The sequence below is a fragment of the Homo sapiens genome, chromosome 12 (genome assembly GCF_000001405.40).
Source record: "Homo sapiens chromosome 12, GRCh38.p14 Primary Assembly".
Lineage (NCBI taxonomy): Eukaryota > Metazoa > Chordata > Mammalia > Primates > Hominidae > Homo > Homo sapiens.
In genome coordinates this window covers 51,985,142-52,004,922 of record NC_000012.12, presented here as the reverse complement: position 1 = coordinate 52,004,922, position 19,781 = coordinate 51,985,142, and the positions used below count along the sequence as shown (strand labels likewise).

General features: G+C 47.9%; 1 protein-coding gene and 1 pseudogene across 22 annotated transcripts in view, besides 1 other annotated feature; both read right to left on the bottom strand.

Annotated features, from left to right (window-relative positions):
* ACVR1B (activin A receptor type 1B) overlaps positions 7,845-19,781 on the bottom strand; it is a 45,380-nt gene continuing 33,443 nt past the window's right edge. For 14 of the 22 annotated variants that reach the window (NM_001412778.1, XM_047429858.1, NM_001412779.1 and 11 more), the window contains 4 exons: positions 19,575-19,731; positions 17,981-18,105; positions 12,930-13,060; positions 7,845-10,938 (listed from right to left, as the gene is read on the bottom strand). In NM_001412778.1, the coding sequence (NP_001399707.1) occupies positions 10,813-10,938; positions 12,930-13,060; positions 17,981-18,105; positions 19,575-19,731 (539 nt within the window). In that variant the 3' untranslated portion in view covers positions 7,845-10,812. The remainder of the gene's footprint in view (positions 10,939-12,929; positions 13,061-17,980; positions 18,106-19,574; positions 19,732-19,781) is intronic. The other 8 variants (NM_001412782.1, NM_001412785.1, NM_001412786.1 and 5 more) reach the window with 4 other exon arrangements.
* Positions 11,618-11,727: a silencer, noted in NCBI's record as "silent region_4477". NCBI's record gives its function as "represses an Ori minimal core promoter by ATAC-STARR-seq in GM12878 lymphoblastoid cells {active_cell/tissue: GM12878}" and the evidence as "EXISTENCE:reporter gene assay evidence [ECO:0000049][PMID:35858748]".
* Positions 17,160-17,266, bottom strand: RNU6-574P (RNA, U6 small nuclear 574, pseudogene; annotated as a pseudogene).

Here is a 19,781-nt window from a genome sequence, read left to right as displayed (position 1 = left end):
TTCATTCCATTGCTTATCCCCAAAGGGACCCAGCAAAAGGGCATCTTGCACAACCTCCTCTGTGAAGGAGCCACCCCAGCTATCACAGAGGGTTACCTAATGGACATGTCTCCTTGCCTGAAACCTGGAGAAGTGGATGCCACAGGTGTGGCACAGCCCCTGTGTCTAACAGCCTGTGGAGCCAGTCATCCTTCAGCTGACGTGGAGGCAGACTTCCCCAGTTTATGTAGGGCAGTCCACCTCCAGGCCTCCAAGTGAGTGAACACCACCAGAGGACTGAAATTCGCACCTTGTTTCCTCCTCTTGCTAGGCAGAAAGCCCTAGAGAACCCCAGAGTAAGGGTGGGCCCAGGAAATGCAATTTTTATCAAGTTCTTTGTGTGATTCCTTAAATCCTGGGATTTCAGAGCCAGAAATGGCCTTATGGTCTGGAAAGGATACCGTATGGTCCAAGCCCTCATTTAACAGAAGCAACTGAAGCCAGAGAGAGAAAGACAGAATCATAACAGGGACTAGAACCCACTAGAACCCAAGTCTCTTGACTCCAGAGACTGTTTAATTCAGCTGCTGGTAGCTCCCTGAGAGCTCAGAGATCCCTGCCTGCTTCCTCCTCCCAATTTCCCCAGTTTCTCCAAGGAGGGGCCCCTGGAGCCCAGGATGCCATACTGTGGAGTGGTTATGCCCTCTGGTGGCCATGAGTCTCGGGGGAAAATCTTCAAGCCAGGCGGAAAGGCTGGAAGACTCCACCTGGAATCCCAGCCCTGTTTCAGGATCCCCCACGGCTCCTCTTCCTCCCAAGAGGGCACAACTGGGATGCCAAGCTCCACTTTGGTCACTGAATTCTGGAATCTCACAGCTGTCAGTTAGGAAGTTTTTTGCATCAAAGCTGCTTCTGCTGCAGGTGAAATTCAGCAGGGAGAAGGCAGGCAGCTGGCGGGCTTTGTTGGTGCACTAACCTTCGCATGCCAGGCAGTATATATGAGGCCTCTAAAGCTTTGCCTTCAACTCTCCACAGCTTTCTCCTAAGCTTGAGTCTCTTGGCTAGCATCTGTTCTCATCCTATCCTCTGCAGCCCTTTAAAGCTTGGGCGGTGGGGGAAGCATTCTGCACACCACCTGCAGCTTCATACCAGGATACGTCCCCCTCCTCCTCCCTCCAGGAAGCCTCCCCACAAAACCTCCACCGCTCTGGCTCCTCAGACATCTGTACTCAATCTGTACCTTCTTCCCAAGCCAGCCTCTCTCAGAATGAGCTCTCAGGTTTCCCTCCCTCTGCTCTGCCTGCCCTGGCTCCTGACACTCGTGGCTGGCCTGGGGTGGGGGATTAGACAGTGGGGGCCCAGCTAAAGGACAAGGCCTAGGTAACACCCCTTCTCTTCAGGGCAACCCCTCGCCTGGCTATGTAACAGTCAGCAGCCCCCCATGGAGGAAATTGGGAGAGCTGAGTCTTCCACTGAGCAGCTTAAGCTCTAGGGTACCATGATGAAGTCAGAGCACTAGGGGCTAGTGCTGGCCCCTCTGGAGTCTGACCTAAGTCTCAGAGCTCTAACATGGGCCTTGTCCATCAGTGGGGCCCGGAACTGGCAGAGATGAATAGTTTACTGGGAGTTCCTCACTGGGTACTGTCACTGCTCCTAAGCTGGGGAGGTGGGGGGGAAGAGGGCCTGGGGCCCTGGCTCTCTGGTCTGTCAGGAATGAGGGGCTGGGCCCCCAGTTGCATGACATCACCTCTTGTGGGCGGTGGACAGCTGGTGGGCAGCTGACTGGGCGGGGAGTGGCTGTTTTTCTTCGTGGCTCCTACTGCGCGACCATTTCCATGGGACAGTGTCTGTGCATGTTCGGGGACCTAGAGAGAGAATCTAGCAGTATGGTTGATCTGGCACAGTCCAAAGATCTGATCCCAGGGGGTCTTGGAGTAGGATCAAGGTAGATGTTGCAGTTTATTTGCATTGAATGTTGGTGGTCTCTGGGTCTAGTCCTGTTCAAAGGCCAGGGACCATCTGGCCTCTTGGATGAAAATGGCAGGGCATCTCTGGCATGAACGGGTTAGAGTGGCAGAAGAAAGGAAGGTTAAGTCTCCAGGTTTCCTACAGCATCTGCACACAACTCCTAAGACACAGGGTATGTGTTATCTTACCCGGCCTCATTTCAGAACAGGTGCATATAGTGAAGAGAGAAAATGGCAGTTCTTAGGGCCCTAGACTGCCCACATCTCTTTCCGCTTGGCAAACACACTTGCTCTTTCATCCCTGGTTCCCTCCTAGGGGACAGTGTCGTGCACCAACCCCCTAACCCCCAAACACATATGCGGAACTGCCAGGCTAAGATTCTCTCTTTTACTCCAAACTGAAGTCAGCTTTCCTCTTTCCCTCACCATTCACATCTGATTATGCCCCAAACCTGAGTATTCTACCCACTGTTTCTCCTGCTGTTCTTCCCAGCTTCTTCCCTTTTTTTTTTTTTTTTTGAGACGGAGTTTCGCTCTTGTTGCCCAGGCTGGAGTGTAATGGCGCAATCTTGGCTCACTGCAACCTCCGCCTCCTGGGTTCAAGCGATTCTCCTGCCTCGGCCTCCCACGTAGCCAGGATTACAGGCACGTGCCACCACGCCCGGCTAATTTTGTATTTTTAGTTGAGACGAGGGTTCACCATGTTGGTCAGGCTGGTCTCGAACTCTTGACCTTGGGTGATCCGCCCGCCTCTGCCTCTGACAGTGCTGGGATTATAGGCATGAGCCACCACACCCGGCCCTTCCCAGCATGTCTTTCTTTTTTTTTTTTTTTTTTTTTTGAGACGGAGTCTCACTCTGTCGCCCAGGCTGGAGTGCAGTGGCGTGATCTTGGTTCACTGCAAGCTCCGCCTCCCAGGTTCAAGCGATTCTCCTGCCTCAGCCTCCCAAGTAGCTGGGATTATAGGCGTGTGCCATCACGTCTGGCAAAATTTTTTGTATTTTTAGTAGAGGTGAGGTTTCACTGTGTTAGCCAGGATGGTCTCGATCTCCTGACCTCGTGATCCACCCGTCTCGGCCTCCCAAAGTGCTGGGATTACAGGCATGAGCCACCGCGCCCCGCCCCTTCCCAGCTTTTCTTACTCTGCCACCAGTACAATTCCTTTCTAAAGTCAGCACTGTGATTTTCCCAAAACACAAGCAGGATCACATCACTCCCTTGCTTAAAACGCTCTACCATGGTCTGAATGATGGTGTCCCTCCAAAATTCCTATGTTGGAACCTAATACCCAATGTGATAGTATTGAGACATGGGATCTTTAGGGAGTGATTAGGTCACGAGGGCTCTGCCCTCATGGATGGAATTAATGCCCTTATAAAAGAGGCTTGAGGGAGCCTGTTTCCCCCTTGCACCATGTGAAGACACAGAAAGCGCCATCTAGGAGAACAGGCCCTCACCAGACACTGAACCTGTTGATCCCTCGATCTGGGACTTCCCAGCCTCGAGAACTGTGAGCATTACATTTATATTGTTTATAAATTACTCAATCCATATCACCCAATCCAAGGAACTTTTTAACTTTTTTTTTTTTTTTTTTTTTTTTTTTTGAGATTGTGTCTCACTCTGTCACCCAGGCTGGAGTGCACTGGCATGATCTTGGCTCACTGCAACCTCCACCTCCTGGGTTCAAGCAATTCTCCTGCCTCAGCCTCCTGAGTAACTGGGATTACAGGTGTGCACCACCATGCCTGGCTAATTTTTGTACTTTTAGCAGCAATGGGGTTTCGCCATGTTGGCCAGACTAGTCTCAAACTCCTGACCTCAAGTGATCCGCCCACCTCGGCCTCCCAAAGTGCTGGGATTACAGGCATGAGCCACCGTGTCCAGCCATCAATCTAAGGTACTTAGCAGCAGCAGCCAGAGCAGACCAAGACACCCTCCAACGGCCTATTCCCTACATCCACAATGACAAATGTGTTTTAACTTACAGGACAGTAAGCACGCTGTTGAGAAAAATGTGGAGACCAACTCAAGAGGACAAATTACTGATAGATTAGTACAGTCTGAGGTAGCTGTCACAGGGTAAGTGATGGCACCGGTGTTACCTATTGGCCATTTCTGGCCCCAGGATGAATTCCTGACCTTTCAGAACTCAGCACGGGAACAGCTCTAGCAGGCTCCCTCATCACACCCCCGCCATACTGAATATCTGTGGTTCTTGAATGGCAATTCTTTTTGACTAAAACCCCCTCCTCTCCTCAGTCAGCAGGCCGAAATTGATGTCCCTCTCTTGCCCCCAACCTCCTGTCTCTCTTATGTTCCCACAGTATTCTATCCCTATGGGAGTACTGATCTCCTTCCATCCTATCTTTTTACTCACCCATTCCACCAGGTAGGGAGCCGCTGTAGGGCAGGGATATGTCACTTCTTCCCCGGACACCTCATCTGTGGTCCCATGGTACTTTGCATACTGCTCTGTAATGGGATTTGCCCAAATCTGCCCTATTGTTGCCTGTACAAATCCTATCTGTCTAGATTATAAACTCCTTGAAGGGCAGGGACCATGGATTGTTTAGCTTTCTTTTCTTTTTCTTTTTTTTTTAAGACAGATTCTTCCTGTGTTGCCCAGGCTGGAGTGCAGTGATGAAATCTTGGCTCACTGCAACCTGCAACCTGCAACCTCTACCTCCCGGGTTCAAGTGATTCTCATGCCTCAGCCTCCTGAGTAACTGGGATTACAGGTGTGCGCCACCACACCTAATTTTTGTATTTTTAGTAGAGATGGGATTTCGCCATAGCTTTCTATTCTACCTACCACTCCATTCATTAAGGTTGCTCGAAAAATACTTATTTAAAGAGCCCAGGCTATCCAATTGTTCCTTAAACTGCCCTAAACCCCCATTAACCCCCCATTTTGGCTTCCAAGGAGAATTCTCAGAAGGACCCAGGGATATCTTCCATATTCCTTAAACCCCATCCTCTGACCAAGGAATCCCCAATAACTTTCAGGCCATAGTTGTCCAGTTGTTTCGTCATATGCTATTCCAGATGTTGCTGTGAAGGTATTTTAGACGTGGTTAACATTTAAATCAGTAGACTTTGAGTAAAGCATATTACCCCTCCATAATGTGGGTGGATTTCATCCAACCAATTGAAGGCCTTAAGAGAAAAGCCTGAGGTGTCCTGAGAAAGGATTCTGCCCCCAGGACTGCGACATCAATTCTTCCCTGGGTCTCTGAGCCTGCTACCCTGCCTTGCAGCCCACACAACCATGAGTCATCTCTCTTTCTAGTCTGTCTGTCCATCCATCCTATCGATTCTGTTTCTGTGGAGAACCCTGACTAGTAACACCGTTCCTGGCCTGACCCAGGGCTTCTCCTACTTCCCTCACCTGTGCTGTGCATTCCTCTTATGTTCCTGAGTCTCTTGAACTCCACCACTCGTCATTCTGGTTTGGTTGTGTTTAGCAAGCATGTTCTAAGGCCTGTAAAGGTCAGAAGACATATGGGCTGGGGGACAGAAATTTAAGCTATGTGAAACAATAACCCAAGCGATACAACATTCAAATGAAGTCAAGCCTCCTGTGTCAGAGGCCTTACTAAGATGAAACATTGTTGGCAACCTTCAAAGGCACAGGAAGAGGCACTAGAATGGTTGCCATTCTGATTTTCAAAATGGTAGAGTTGAGCCTGCAATCATAGCCTAGTGAATTTTAGGTCCATGCCTGGCAAGATGACTGACTATTCACAGGATGGCCTGTAAGGGGCCTTCATGTGAACCAGGCCGAGATTCACTACCAACCACTCTGTCTTTCTTTCCAATGAACAGGTAGATAGATCAAAGAGAGCCACAATGATACTTTAGCAAAGTACTTGGGCTTCTTCTGCTATCTCTGTCCATCTAAAAATTATGGGCCAGGTGAAGTGGTTCATGACTGTAACCCCAGCACCTTGGGAGGCCGAGGAGGAGGTATTCCCTGAAGCCAATAGTTCAAAACCAGCCTGGGCATCAAAGGGAGATCCTGTCTCTATTTAAAATAATAAATAGTCTGGGAGCAGTGGCTCACACCTGTAATCCCAACACTTTGGGAGGCCGAGGTGGGCAGATCACCTGAGGTCAGGAGTTCGAGACCTGCCTGGCCAACATGGTGAAACCCCGTCTCTACTAAAAATACAAAAATTAGCTGGGTGTGGTGGCGGGCGCCTGTAATCTCGGCTACTTGGGAGGCTGAGGCAGGAGAATCGCTTGAACCCTGGAGGTTGCAGTGAGCCAAGATCGCGCCACTGCACTCCAGCCAGGGCAACAGAGACTCTGTCTCAATAAATAAATAAACAAAAAATAAAAAATAAAAAATTATGGCCAGGACACAAGGACAATTTAATTAGCAGCTGATTAGATTATTGGGATAGATGCCAAACTTAAAGCGAACTTTTAGGAGTAAGTTACTTCATTTTCTCAGCCCAGCAGAGTCTCAGACAGGGAAACTCAGAACAATGGAAAACTCTGGGTAATAATCAGGATTTAAAAGTAGCGACAGGCTGGCGCAGTGGGCATGGTCTACAGTGAAGTTTAATAGAGTAAAACTATAAGGTCCTGTACTTGAGTTCAAAACACCAACTTCCCTTATACAAGCAGGAGAGGGTAGCTGGATTTTACTCAATCAAGAGATGAGATGCAGTCCTGGGATGTGATCTGTGGCATCAAGCACACAGTCTGTGGGGTTCTTGTTCTAGTCTGTGATGTCTGCTGATACCTGGGTGGAACGTTATGTACACATCCTTTGTGGCCCCAGACTCTAGCTGGGTTCAGAAGAGAGCGGCCAGCCTGGGTGAGGAACATGGAACCAGAGCAGGATAGTGCAGTGGGGGAAGGGCTGTGCTCTGCAGTCAACATCCCGGACCCAAGGTCTTTTCCACCAGTGAGCTACGTGATCTTGGGCAACTTATTTGACTTCTCCAATCCTCTGTTTCCTAATCCATAAAGAGAAGATAATGATGCCCATCTCATATGGTTGCTCTGAGGATTAAAACAGTTAATATACGTAAAGCAAATTTTGGCACATTGCTTAGCACGAAGTGAGTTTTCAATAAGTATTCACTAATATTAACTGAAGAAACTCGGAGCTTTGCCAGAAGATTCATGACGGCTGCCTGTAAATATTTTAAGGGATCTTATAAGGGAAGACAGAATAACTGCTTAGAAAACCCTGTGGAAGTCTCATGGAAGTTGCCCAGCTCTACAGAAGGAAGGGTTTTCCACTGAGCCACGGAGCCTACAGATGGAGCTGTGGTCCAGCATTAGCAGGAGGCCACACAAGCACCTGACAGGGACATCGCAGGGAAGTCGAGTGCCTGACAGTGAACTAGGGGATCTTGTGGGTCTCATCTAAACTGGAGACTATGATTCTAGGACTTGTTATTTTAGATTCCCTCAGCCCAGAGAGGGAGGACATTCACACCCACCACACGCTGAGAATACCAGAGGAGTAACCACTGAAGACTTCCTCCTCAAAGTCACCTAAGCATCCCAGAATTCACAATTTCACTTCAGCTTAGGAGGAGCGCTCATGCCTCTAAGACATGAGAGAGTGTGACTAACTAGGAACATGACCCTCTTTTGTAAACAGGAAAAAACGTGAGAAGACAAATTCAGACAAAGCCCAAGAAAAGGATGCTTTGTGTCTTCTGTCCCTTGCATGCCAGACCCGCCCTCTAGGAACACAAAGCAACAGTCTCAGGAAGACCCAGGATGTTGGGAACAGCATTCCTCTTGCTGGGGTCTGCTACAGCTGGTGTGAGCACGAGACCCTGACCTTAGAACATCCACCCCATTCCCAACTCCCCTGACAAAAGCTGGGTGGCCGTACTACGTATGTGGGACAGATGGCACCAGAGCAGCTCTGTGAATAAAACTTTTAATAATGTACAGCAGAAATTGGACAGGCTCATTCTTATATTAAAACAAAAGATTTCCTATATTACAATTTATTTACATTTGCATACTGAAGAGGTAAAGTGTCTAAGTGGCTATTTTACAGTCCTTTCTAATAAAATGTACAAAAACAAACAGAAGTACCGAGAATGCCGTTCGGGGGCCTTTATGGCGACGTAAGAACGGGCTTGGACTTGGTCTGTGAATCCAGAATCCAGAGGTGCAGGTAGCACTATGGATCAGGGTTAGCCTCGGGGGGCCAAAAACACGGCTTCAGTTTCTCCCCAACTCTCACTTAGTGTTAAGAGTGGCAGAGGTGGGTGTGGGAGCTTCCCAAAGACCTGCTCCATCTTCCCCAGAGGTGGAAGAGTTGGACTGTGTGTGGGGTAAGGGCAGAAGGGCCAACTGGGGAGTGGGCTAGTGGCTTGGGAGTGGACGTGTGTTGGCAGATCCCAGAGGCTACTTGTGACTCTGGGAAGAGGAGTCTAAGTTCCATCATTACCTATAAACCGCCAAGGTTCTGCTGCAGGGCGGATAGGTGGGAGGTCAGCAGGGGTAAAGACGGTCCCCCCAATGACACAATGGTATTTAAACGAAATTAGTGGCCAGTAAATTGGCCCAAAGGTTAGGGGAAGATCTCCTTTAATGCAAGGAAAGAAGCAATAATCAGTCAAATAAATAGAAGGGCCAGGAGCACTGGGGAGCCTGAGGGCAGGGACAGGGCTCTCCCTCCTCCACAAGCTTTGGCAGAGAACTGCTGGGTTGGAGGCAGAGATGCTCTAAGGCTACATACACAATACACCTCCCCTGGGGACAGGAAGGGGGCTCAGAATGAATGCAGTGATTTGAGGTCTCACCTGGGGTTCTAAACCCCAGGTCTCATCACCCGCCCCTGGTCTCTTTGTGGAGGGGGTTGTGGGGGTTCCTCTTTCTTCAGTGATCTTATATAAGAACAATAATTCTAGGCTCAAAAGGGTCGTAGAACCAATTATGAAACCTTCTGGTCTCAAAACAGGCATCTACTTACTTGAATCAGCTCTTTTTACAGTGCTCCAGGAGTAGGACCCAAGCATGTCTTGTCCACAGATGTATTCCCAGCACCTGGCACCCAGCAGGCACTTCACCCACATTTGTTGAATAAATGCCTGGAGAGGGTACAACCAGCTGGACAGTGCAAGAAAGGGCCCTAGAGCAAAAACCACTCAAGGAATTGGGGGTGGGGACAAAATACGAGAGAGACTGAGCCTCAGGGCAAAGAGGAACTCTCACTGCTGAGTGGGAACAGGCTCAGGTGCAAGGACAAACATTTCCAGTGTGATTGAGCTATGTGCGTTCAATTGGATAATTTTTTTTTTTAGGGATTTCTTTAAAAACAAATAGATTGAGAGGTAATCACAGAGATGGTTTTCCTTTTACAAAAACTTAATATTTAACAACATTAAAAAAAGTTAAAATCCAAACCCTCCCAATAAAATTAAAAAAAGAAATCAAACCACTCCAGTTAAAAGTTATGGCTTCAAAGTTATTATATACCTAAGATATGCTGACCAAATCACCACCCACAGCCGTGCTTCTAGGCTTCGTTAAATACTATACTCAGGTTAAATAACATGTTCGGCTCAGGCTGTTCCCTTCAGTAGGGCTCCTGAAGTGGATGCAAACCTCTCACCTTCCCTCCACCCTGATCAGACAGTCCAGTAAAAGAAGACCCATGCAGATGCCTCCCTCCCACCCCAGACTCCCTCCCCACTCCTTGCCCGCCCTTCCCTTCCCCACCCCAAACCCACCACCACCAAAAATATACACTGCTGTTTCCAGGATCTGGGAGATGAAAGACAGATGTAACATTCCAATCTGAGTCCCGAGATCTGGCTTCACATTCCTCGGCCCTTCCTCGATGCTGCTGAGGATGATGCCCTTGGGCTGGCTCATTTCCCATGGCTGACACTAACACCCAAGACTTCCACCAGGATTCCTTCCCTGCCCATCCCACCCACCACCCTCACATTTTGGCCCAAAAGCCTCTTTTGTCATGGACAACTGGGCCAGCTTTGGTTCCACAGTCTGAGATGGAGGAGGAGAGCTGTGCTGATGCTGGGGTGGGCAGAGTAGCCTGCCAGACACAGAGTACCACTGTGGCATGAGGGGCTCTGGGGGAGGGAGAGACCTCCAGGGAAGGGCACCAGGGAAACTAGATGCTGCTCACTACTGAAAAGAGGCACCAGCAAGCACGGACAGCATGACGACCACACCCCCGACCTGCACATGCACAGAAAGCTCAAGCAGGTAAGTGCGCACCTACAGACACACACACACACTCACACGCACGTGTAAGGGCATGGCACGAACCAGGCACAACGGGGGACGCACCTCGGCACATGCACACACGGCTGGACAGACAAAGCGGCAGATTCCGTCTCCACTGGCAGTCTCCCGGCAGCGTCCATCCCAGGGAGGAGGGGAAAGCGCGGCTCAGAGCTGCCTGTGAGAGGGGCTGCACTTCTGGTTCTTCCGGGCCACCTTGGTGTGCTGTGGGCTGGTCCCCGAAGGAAACCCTCAGGGCAGCTTAGCACTGGCAACACCTCGGTTCCTCCGGCCCCTCCCAAGCGCCCCTGTCATGGCTCCTGGCCACGTGCCAGATGCACCGGGTTTCGCGGGACTTCCCACTACAACCAGTTCGAGGTGTGGCACTGAGTTCTCCACACAATTCGCTCTCAGAGTCTCCATGCCATTAGGAGGTAAATAGAAAAGGTGTCTGTCTCAAACCCAACATGGGAGTGAGCGAGTCTCTCCCGGGCTCTGTCCCTCTTGCGGGCCAGGGCTCCTGGCCACAGAGGGCTGGGCAGAAACGAGAGGTAGGCCTCCATCGTACGCTCAACGCGGCAGCTGTGCGTAGTTCTCGCTGCCAGGAGCTCCGTGTGGAGAGAGGGAGCAGTTAGATCTTCACGTCTTCCTGCACGCTGAGCTGGGAGAGGGTCTTCTTGATGCGCAGGGCCGTCAGGCGGGCTGCGCCGTTGGCATACCAACACTCTCGCATCATCTTCCCCATCACCCGCAGTGCCTGTGCAGAGACCCAGGAGCCATCAGCTCGGTCATGCCCTGGAGAAGCCTTTCTGGTCCCTAGGCTCTCACTCATTTCCCTGCCACCTCCCGCTCAGTGCAGTCTGGCAGATCCACATCCACCCGGCGGCCGACCTTAGGGAAATGCTCTGCAAGGCTCCCTTTGTTCCCTGGCTCTTCCTTTTTTTTTTTTTTTTTTTTTTTTTTTTTTTTTTTTTTTAGAAGGAGTCTCACTCTGTCACCCAGGCTGGAGTGCAGTGGCGCAATCTTGGCTCACCGCAACCTCCGCCTCCCGGGTTCAAGTGATTCTCCTGTCTCAGCCTCCCCAGTAGCTGGGACTACAGGCACACACCACTACGCCCAGCTGATTTTTGTATTTTTAGTAGAGATGGGGTTTTACCATATTGGTTGGCCAGGATGGTCTCGCTCTCTCGACCTTGTGATCTGCCCACCTCGGCCTCCCAAAGTGCTGGGATTACAGGCATGAGCCACCGCGCCAGGCGGCTCTTCCTTTTTAAGGGACAGCTTACACAAGTGAAAGGCAAACGCTGCAGCTAACGGCCAGCTCTTTTGGTCTCACCTGCCCTCTGAAGCAAACCCTGCCCTGAGGGTTCCAAGGAGTGCGGTGAGAAGTGCTGCTCTATGATGCAACACGAAAGCATCAGCTAATATGCAATTCTGTTCTGAAATGCAGAAATGCCCTCTAGTGGTTAGACTCGTTAAAGGCAGAGCCAACCTCTCTACTTGACTAGGTAAGTTCTGGGGCTCTAATGGACGGCAAGGTGACTAGAGTCAACAATACTGTACACCTGAAATGTGCTAACAGTAGGTCTCAACTGCTCTCACTACACACACAAGCAACAAGGTGAGGTGACAGATGTGTTCACTAACTTGTGTGGTAATCATGTCACAATACATACATGTATCAATTCAGCACTTTGTACACCTTTGTTACAATTTCATTTGTCAATCACACCTCGATAGAGTTGGGAAAAAAATAAGTAAAAGGAAATGCAGAACCGCAAGTGAAAAGGAGGCCCATGAGCACTTAGCTAGGCGAAGCCTGTTCCCCTGAACACTCTTAAGACCCTAGAATTCCATGTTTATTAGTACGTATGTCACAAACATGTCCTCATGTCAACTCTTTCCACCAAATGTTGTTTCCCCCACACCCCTGATTTCATCTGCCGTCTCTCCCAAATTCACATTCTCCATCCCAATCCCAGCCCTGTCATACACATCACCTCCTCCCTTCTGAGTTTCTGGAAAGACCACTTTCCTCACAGGCATGTCCTCCTCCTCTGTCTGGTCTCAGGGCTTCTCTTATGGACACCTCCTCCTCACTCTTCCATGGAGCTCAGCTCAGCTCGGGCTCCAGAGCTGCTTTCCTAGTTTGGTGTCTAACAGCTCTGGGTTCAGTTGTCACTTGTTGACCACCTCCCTCATCTGTGTCTTGGAGACAAAGCCTTGTCCTTTTTCTTTTATGAGACAGGGTCTTGCTCTGTTGCCCAGGCTGAAACGCAGTGGCCCAATCATGGCTCACTGCAGCCTTGACCTCCTAGGCTCAAGCAATCCTCCCACCTCAGCCTCCCAAGTACCTGGGACTACAGGTGGTGTGCCACCAAGCCTAATTTTTTATTTCTTGTAGAGATGGGGTCTCCCCACATTGCCCAGGTTTGTCTCGAACTTCTGAGCTCAAGCTATCTTCCTGCCTCAGCCTCTCAAAGCGCTACGATTACAGGCCTATGCCACCACACCAGGCCCAAAGCCTTTTCTTCTTCTAGGCTGTGAACTCCAAATGGCACCCTACAGGGTCCAGGACAAGAGACTGTAGCCCTAAAGGGCTTGGGATATGTAAAATAGCACGTAATAGTAAATAATAACTGACACTCTCAGGGGGCTCCTCTGGGGCCTGACCCCATTGTCAAGAAACCCTTTTCTAAGGTGGAGAAATCAGGCTGATGGGAAAGCCGCAGGAGGCCAGCTTCTTACCTCATAACTCTGCCACCAGTTGGGGATGTTGGGACGCAGCTTCTGATCACATACAACCTTTCGCATTTCCTCAATGGAAGGGTCAGAGGGCACTAAGTCGTAATATGGCAGCTGATATTCTTCATGGACTCCTGGGAGAAAAGAAAGTATCTACCTGAGTTATCAACAGCAGGAAAAGATTACTCAGAAGCCGGTGACAAAACCTACACTGTGCTCTGTAAATACCACTACCCCCTAAGGTTCCTTAGAAAGTTAGTTAATTCTAAGTATGGAACAAGAAATACACAAAAGGGGCCGGGCATGGTGGCTCATGCCTGTAATCCCAGCACTTTGGGAGGCCAAGGCAAGCGGATCACCTGAGATCAGTAGTTTGAAACCAGCCCCGCCAACACGGTAAAACCCCATCTCTACTAAAAATACAAAAATTAACCAGGCATGGTGGCAAACACCTGTAGTCCCAGCTACTAGGGAGGCTGAGGCAGGAGAATAGCTTGAACCCTGGAGGCAGAGGTTGCAGTGAGCAGAGATCATGCCACTGCACTCCAGCCTGGACAAGAGTGCAAGACTCTGTCTCAAACAAAACAACTAAACAAAAAGAAATACAAAAGAGTAGCCAGGAACATTTTTTTTCATAGCCAAAGCAAGGAATCTATCAAAGACTACTGGGGGTCACATCAAAAGGCACCAACTTGATAAGCTCCCAACTGAGCAAAGATGGGAACTTTTAAGTAACAATAAGACAAATAACTTCAATGGAAACAAATATTTTTAAAGTCTAAAAAAGGAAATTTCAGTCACCTACCTCTGTGGGAGGCTACAGAACCACCTCATTATTTTGAAAAATGGTAAATAAGTGGAAAGAATCAAGTATTTTTTCTGCCTCTCCTATTCCAACTATATATCATGGGAACCAAATACATATGTAGGGGAAGTAATCATTCGCTTAGTTTTGGACAATATCACCACGGCACGTTAACGACACAAAAATAGAGAACCAATGCTACGCAACTTGTCACAGAAGGACAGAGGAACCCCTGTGAAGGATACGTGTCCCCGAACCCCCAGAAATGATTCTAGCTGCCAGATCTAACTACCAATTCATAGGAAATACCAGGAAGAGTAGAATATGTGAACTCTACCTAAGCAATCTGCAAAATCTAGCCTGGGAAATTCTACAGGACAAATGACCTGGATTCTCCGAAAAAACAGAGTGGGAAGAAAAAATGAGGGGGAACATGTAGACAAGAAATGTAGGAGGTGTATTCATCAACTGCAGGGGATAAAACTTATTGGAACCCCGATTTGAACAAACTGCTTTAAAAATTTAGGAGACTGGGGAAATCTCAACACTGACTAGATGTTAAGTGACATTAATGTTTGCCAGGCACAATGGCTCACACCTCTAATTCTAGCACTTTGGGAGGCCGAGGTGGAAGGATTGCTTGAACACAGGAGTTCAAGACCAGCCTGGGCAACATGGCAAAACCCTTGTCTCCACAAAAAATACAAAAATTAGTAGGGCATGGTGGTGCACCTGTAGTCCCAAGCTACTCAGGAGGCTGGAGTGAAAGGTTCCCCTGAGCCTGGAGAGGTGGAGGCTACAGTGAGCTGTGATCACGCCACTGCACTCCAGCCTGGGTGACAGTGAGACTCTGTCTCAAAAAAAAAAAAAAAAAAAAAAGCACTAAATTTGTGTGTGTGTGTGTGAGTTTCACTCTTGCCACCCAGGCTGGAGTGCAATGGCGCAATCTCAGCTTAATGCAACTTCCACCTGCCGGGTACAAGCGATTCTTCTGCCTCAGCCTCCGAGTAGCTGGGATTACAGGTGCCTGCCACCATGCCCGGCTAATTTTTGTATTTTTAGTAGATTCGGGGTTTCACCATGTTGGCCAAGCTGGTCTTGAACTCCTGACCTCGGGTGATCTGCCCGCCTCAGCCTCCCAAAGTGCTGGGATTACAGGTGCGAGCCACCGCACCTGACCCCTAATGTTCATTTTTTTTTCCTTTTTTGAGACGGAGTCTCCACTGTTGCCCAGGCTGGAGTGCAGTGGCACGATCTCGGCTTGCTGCAACTTCCACTTCCTTGGTTCACGTGATTCTCCTTCCTCAGCCTCCCAAGTAGCTGGGACTACAGGCGTACGCTACCATACCTGGCAATTTTTTTGTATTTTTAGTACAGACGGGGTTTCACTATGTTGGCCAGACTGGTTGCAAACTCCTGACCTTGTGATCAGCCCACCTCGGCCTCCAAAAGTGCTGAGATTACAGGCATGAGCCACCGCGCCCGGCCTAATGTTCATTTTTTAAAGTGTGGTAATAGCACTGCATTTTTTTAAGTCCTCATCTTTAAGAACTACAAACTTAGAAAGATTTTCCATAATAAAAAGATAGTTTTAAAAAGCCAATTTAGGCCAGGCACAGTGGCTCACGCTTATAATCCTAGCACTTTGGGAGGCTAAGGCAGGTGGACCACCTGAGGTCAGGAGTTCGAGACCAGCCTGGCCAACACAATGAAGCCCCATCACTACTAAAAACAGAAAAATCAGCCCGCAGTGGTGGTGGGCACCTGTAATCCCAGCTACTCGGGAGGCTGAGGCAGGAGACTGGCTTGAACCCAGGAGGCGGAGGTTGCAGTGAGCTAAGATTGTGCCATGGCAATACAGCCTGGGTGACAAAGAGAAACCCTCTCTCAAAAAAATAAAAATAAAAAGCCAATTAATTTTTCTCAAGCCCTTTTCCAGAAAAAGAAAAACAAAACAAAACAAAAAAACCCTGCTGTCTTGAGCTAATGAGACAATTTTTTTTCTTTTAAGTAGAGATGGAGTCTCTCCTACCTCAACCTCCTGAGTAGCTGAGATTACAGGCGCCCGCCACTACACCCGGCTAATTTTTGTATTTTTAATAGAGATAGGGCTTCACATTGGCCAGGCTGGTCTCGAACTCCCAGGTGATCCGCCCACCTTGGCCTCCCAAAGTGCTGGGATTACAGGCGTGAGCCACCATGCCTGGCCTTTATGTCTGGCTAATTTTTTTATTTTTGTAAAGATAGAGTTTCACCATGTAGCCCAAGCTGGTCTCAAACTCCTGGCCTCAGGTAATCAGCCCACCCTGGCCTCTCAAAGTGCTGGGATTACAGGTGTGACACAGTGCCCAGCCTGGGAAATATTTTTAAATAGAGAATTGGACTTGGTAATTATCTAAGGGGTAGTTACAGGCTTAAGCCCTGGCCTCAGCCTGTCCGAGTCTGAACCCTTGTTTACTAAAATAGTTATGTGACCTTAGACAAATTTCCTAACTTCTCTGTGACTCATTTTCTTCATTTGTAAAATGGCGATGATAATAGCACCTACTTATTATTTACTTGTAGTAGTAAAGATTAAATGAGCTTATACATAGCAAGTGGTGAATAAATGTTAGCATTATTATATATTTAGCCTCAATTTCTGGATGTCATAAGAAGAAATAAACTTATTCACAGTTTAAGACCTGTGTGACCAGATTTTTCTTAGTTTGTTTGTTTTTTCTTTGAGATGGAGTCTCGCTCTGTCGCAAGGCTGCAATGCAGTGGCTCGATCTTGGCTCACTGCAAACTCCGCCTCCAGGGTTCAAGCGTTCTCCTGCCTCAGCCTCCCAAGTAGCTGGGACTACAGGCGTGCACCACCATGCCCTGCTAATTTTTGTATTTTTAGTAGAGACAGGGTTTCACCATGTTGGCCAGGATGGTCTCGATCTCTTGACCTCGTGATCCGCCTGCCTTGGCCTCCCAAAGTGCTGGGGATTACAAGCGTGAGCCACTGCGCCTGGCCTCTTAGTCTGTTTTACTGCATATACTGATCAAAATTTAAGAGGTACAATTCCATGAATACTACCTGGGCACTATTTCCATAATTTGGATTTTACCAAACATGTCATAAATGGAAGCTGGAAAAGGGTATTAATATACAAAACAGTTCTGCTGGAAGACTTGTCATATTTTTTGTAGATTAGATTTTTTTAATTTTTAATTTTTGTGGGAACACAGTAGATGTATATACTTATGGGGTACATGAGATGTTTTGATACAGGCATGCAATGCATAATAATCACATCAGGGAAAATGGGATATCCATCCCTTCAAGCATTTACACTGTGTTACAAACAATCTAATTATATTCTTTCAGTTATTTTAAAATGTACAATTATATTATTGACTATAGTCACCCTGTGGTGCTATCAAATACTAGGTCTTTAAAAAATATGGAACGCTTCAGGAATTTGCATGTCATCCTTGTGCAGGGGCCATGCTAACCTTCTCTGTATTGTTCCAATTTTAGTATATGTGCTGGCGAAGTGAGCACCACCAGTTCTTTTTTTCAATCACTTTCACTGCCCTGGAATCTCTTATATCACAGATAAATGGCTGAGAGTAGGGCTCTAGAGGTCCTGGAACTTGATCATGTGGCAGAATATATGGAAATTATCATAAAATACTGATATACTAAGTTGACAATAAAAAGTGTTTCTGCTAAATCTGATACTATTTCTTACTGGATTCTGTCATGAATAAGCAGCTGCAAATGCCAACGATTTTTAACTATGGGAGAAAAAACTCACTTTTAAGAAAAATCTATGCACTTTTATAAATTTAGAAATTAGCACTATTATTTTAACAATGAAACAGCAGGGTTTCCCATGAATGTGGCTTGGGAGCCACCGCGTTAGAATATACTGCTTCTGATGTGAAGGAGACCACTGCATGAATCCCGTGCTATGCGCACCGGGGCACTCCCCGCCACGGACTAATAAAACAATGTTTGTTTGTTTATAAAGCCAAACGAGCCTTCAGAATGGTTACCATAACACACAACGCTATTCAACAAACTGATCCCTGAAGAATAAACGCACCCTAAGCACAGCTACCTCCACACCTTTGATGGCAACCTTAAACGATGATTCAGGCTCTGGCAACAGGCATCCAACAGGTTGTAAAAAGAAAGGGGGCAGTAAAACAGCTTTGGGTGATCCAGCATCCTGGAATGGGAGGTAGGAGCAAAGGCAAAAAAGAAAGGTACCTCCAGAATTGCATCTTCGAGCAATCTCCCAATATACAAGCCCGAGGGCATAAATATCAGCACATTTAAAGGAGTCAAAGTGTTTCATATTAATGGTTTCATCAAGTACTTCAGGGGCCATGTATCTGCAATAGCAAAACAAACATGGTCACGCACAGAAAATGATGACTGCTCTCTTTAAATCAAAGTATTGATTCAGGAGCCCTCTGAATGTGGAAGAGTATCACCCTGATAAAGTCCCTTGGGGCAGAAGAAGTGTACACATCTCTTCATTGCAAACTCCCATGTTTTAAATTTGATTCTAAATACTTCAGCACAGATTTGGCAATACCAGGCTACTCTGATGTGTATCTCTATTTTTAACCATCAAGATTTGTTTATTTGGCCAGGTGCGGTGGCTCACGCCTGTAATCCCAGCACTTTGGGAGGCCAAGGTGGGCGGATCACCTGAGGGCAGGAGTTGGAGACCAGCCTGGCCAACATCGCGAAACCCCATCTCTATTACAAATACAAAAAATTAGCCAGGCATGGTGGCAGGCGCCTGTAATCCCAGCTACTCGGGAGGCTGAGGCAGGAGAATCACTTGAACCCGGGAGGCGGAGGCTGCAGTGAGCCATGACTGTGCCATTGCACTCCAGCTTGGGCAACAAGAGCGAAACTCCATATCAAAAAAACAAAGAGAGAGTAAAGATTTGTTTATTTGAAGCATGTTTTGACTTCTTGGCAGAAGTACTTGTAATGTGGGTCACAGGGGCAGTAACAGTACCTAATATTTGGTTGACACCAGGGTCCTTCACTTTATTGAATGTAGTCACAGTGATGGGTTGAGCTTAAGTTTCATTCCGAACTGCTTTTGTTATCTTACCTGACTATAGATATGTCAAAATTAATTCTAGAGGTGGTCAGCGGCACCCTTAATGACTCTGAGTAGTAATTATGAGTAATTACTATGATTCCAGCCACCCCAGCCCCCACAATAAATCAGGGGATAATCTTAATTAAATTCATTTAGATTCAGCAGATTTCCACCTCTTCCACTCTATTAAAAGGCAGTCCCATTTCCAACTCATGAAGTCAATTTGCAATCACAGCTCCTTACTTCTTACCTCACTTCTGCATGAAGTGGGAAGCAGGCCCATAATCTTGAAGGGTGCCCCAAATCTCTATCCTGGGTTACCTTTGCTATAGTTTGGCAAATCTGGTCTCCAGTCCCTAAGCACATGCTCCCTGCCTCCTTCACAGCTCTCTGCACAGGAGATGACAGTGTTTTCCCTCTTTCCCGAGCCACACCTGTTGCCTGCTATCCTTCTAAATCCTGCTCTAGATTGTCCTTCTCTACCCTCCGACCTTAATACCACCAACACCAATGTGCATACAGTTTATGGAGCTGTGCTCTCAGCACTTGTATCTGTTAGATGCAGTGATGCAACTTTCCATTGTGGGGAGTGCATGTTCAATTCAACTTTCAGTGGGCTGAGAGCAAGGTCCTCGCCTCCTTTTTCAACACCTCCTTCTCCTGCGCATATGGGAAACGGCACAGATGGGATACTCAGTAGAAGCTGCTTAGCAAGGGCAGAGTCCCAGGCCCTCCTACCGTTTGGTCCCCACCCTCTGATTCGGGGCAATGTCAATGGTGTCAGTGACTGCATCATGACGGACAGCCAGGCCCAGGTCTGCTATGGCACACATGCCATTTTTCTTCACCAGAATGTTCTTTGACTTTAAGTCTCGATGAGCAATTCCAGGCTTCCCTGGCAGAGAAAAAAACAGGGATCTTTACAAAGAGATGATATAAATGTTA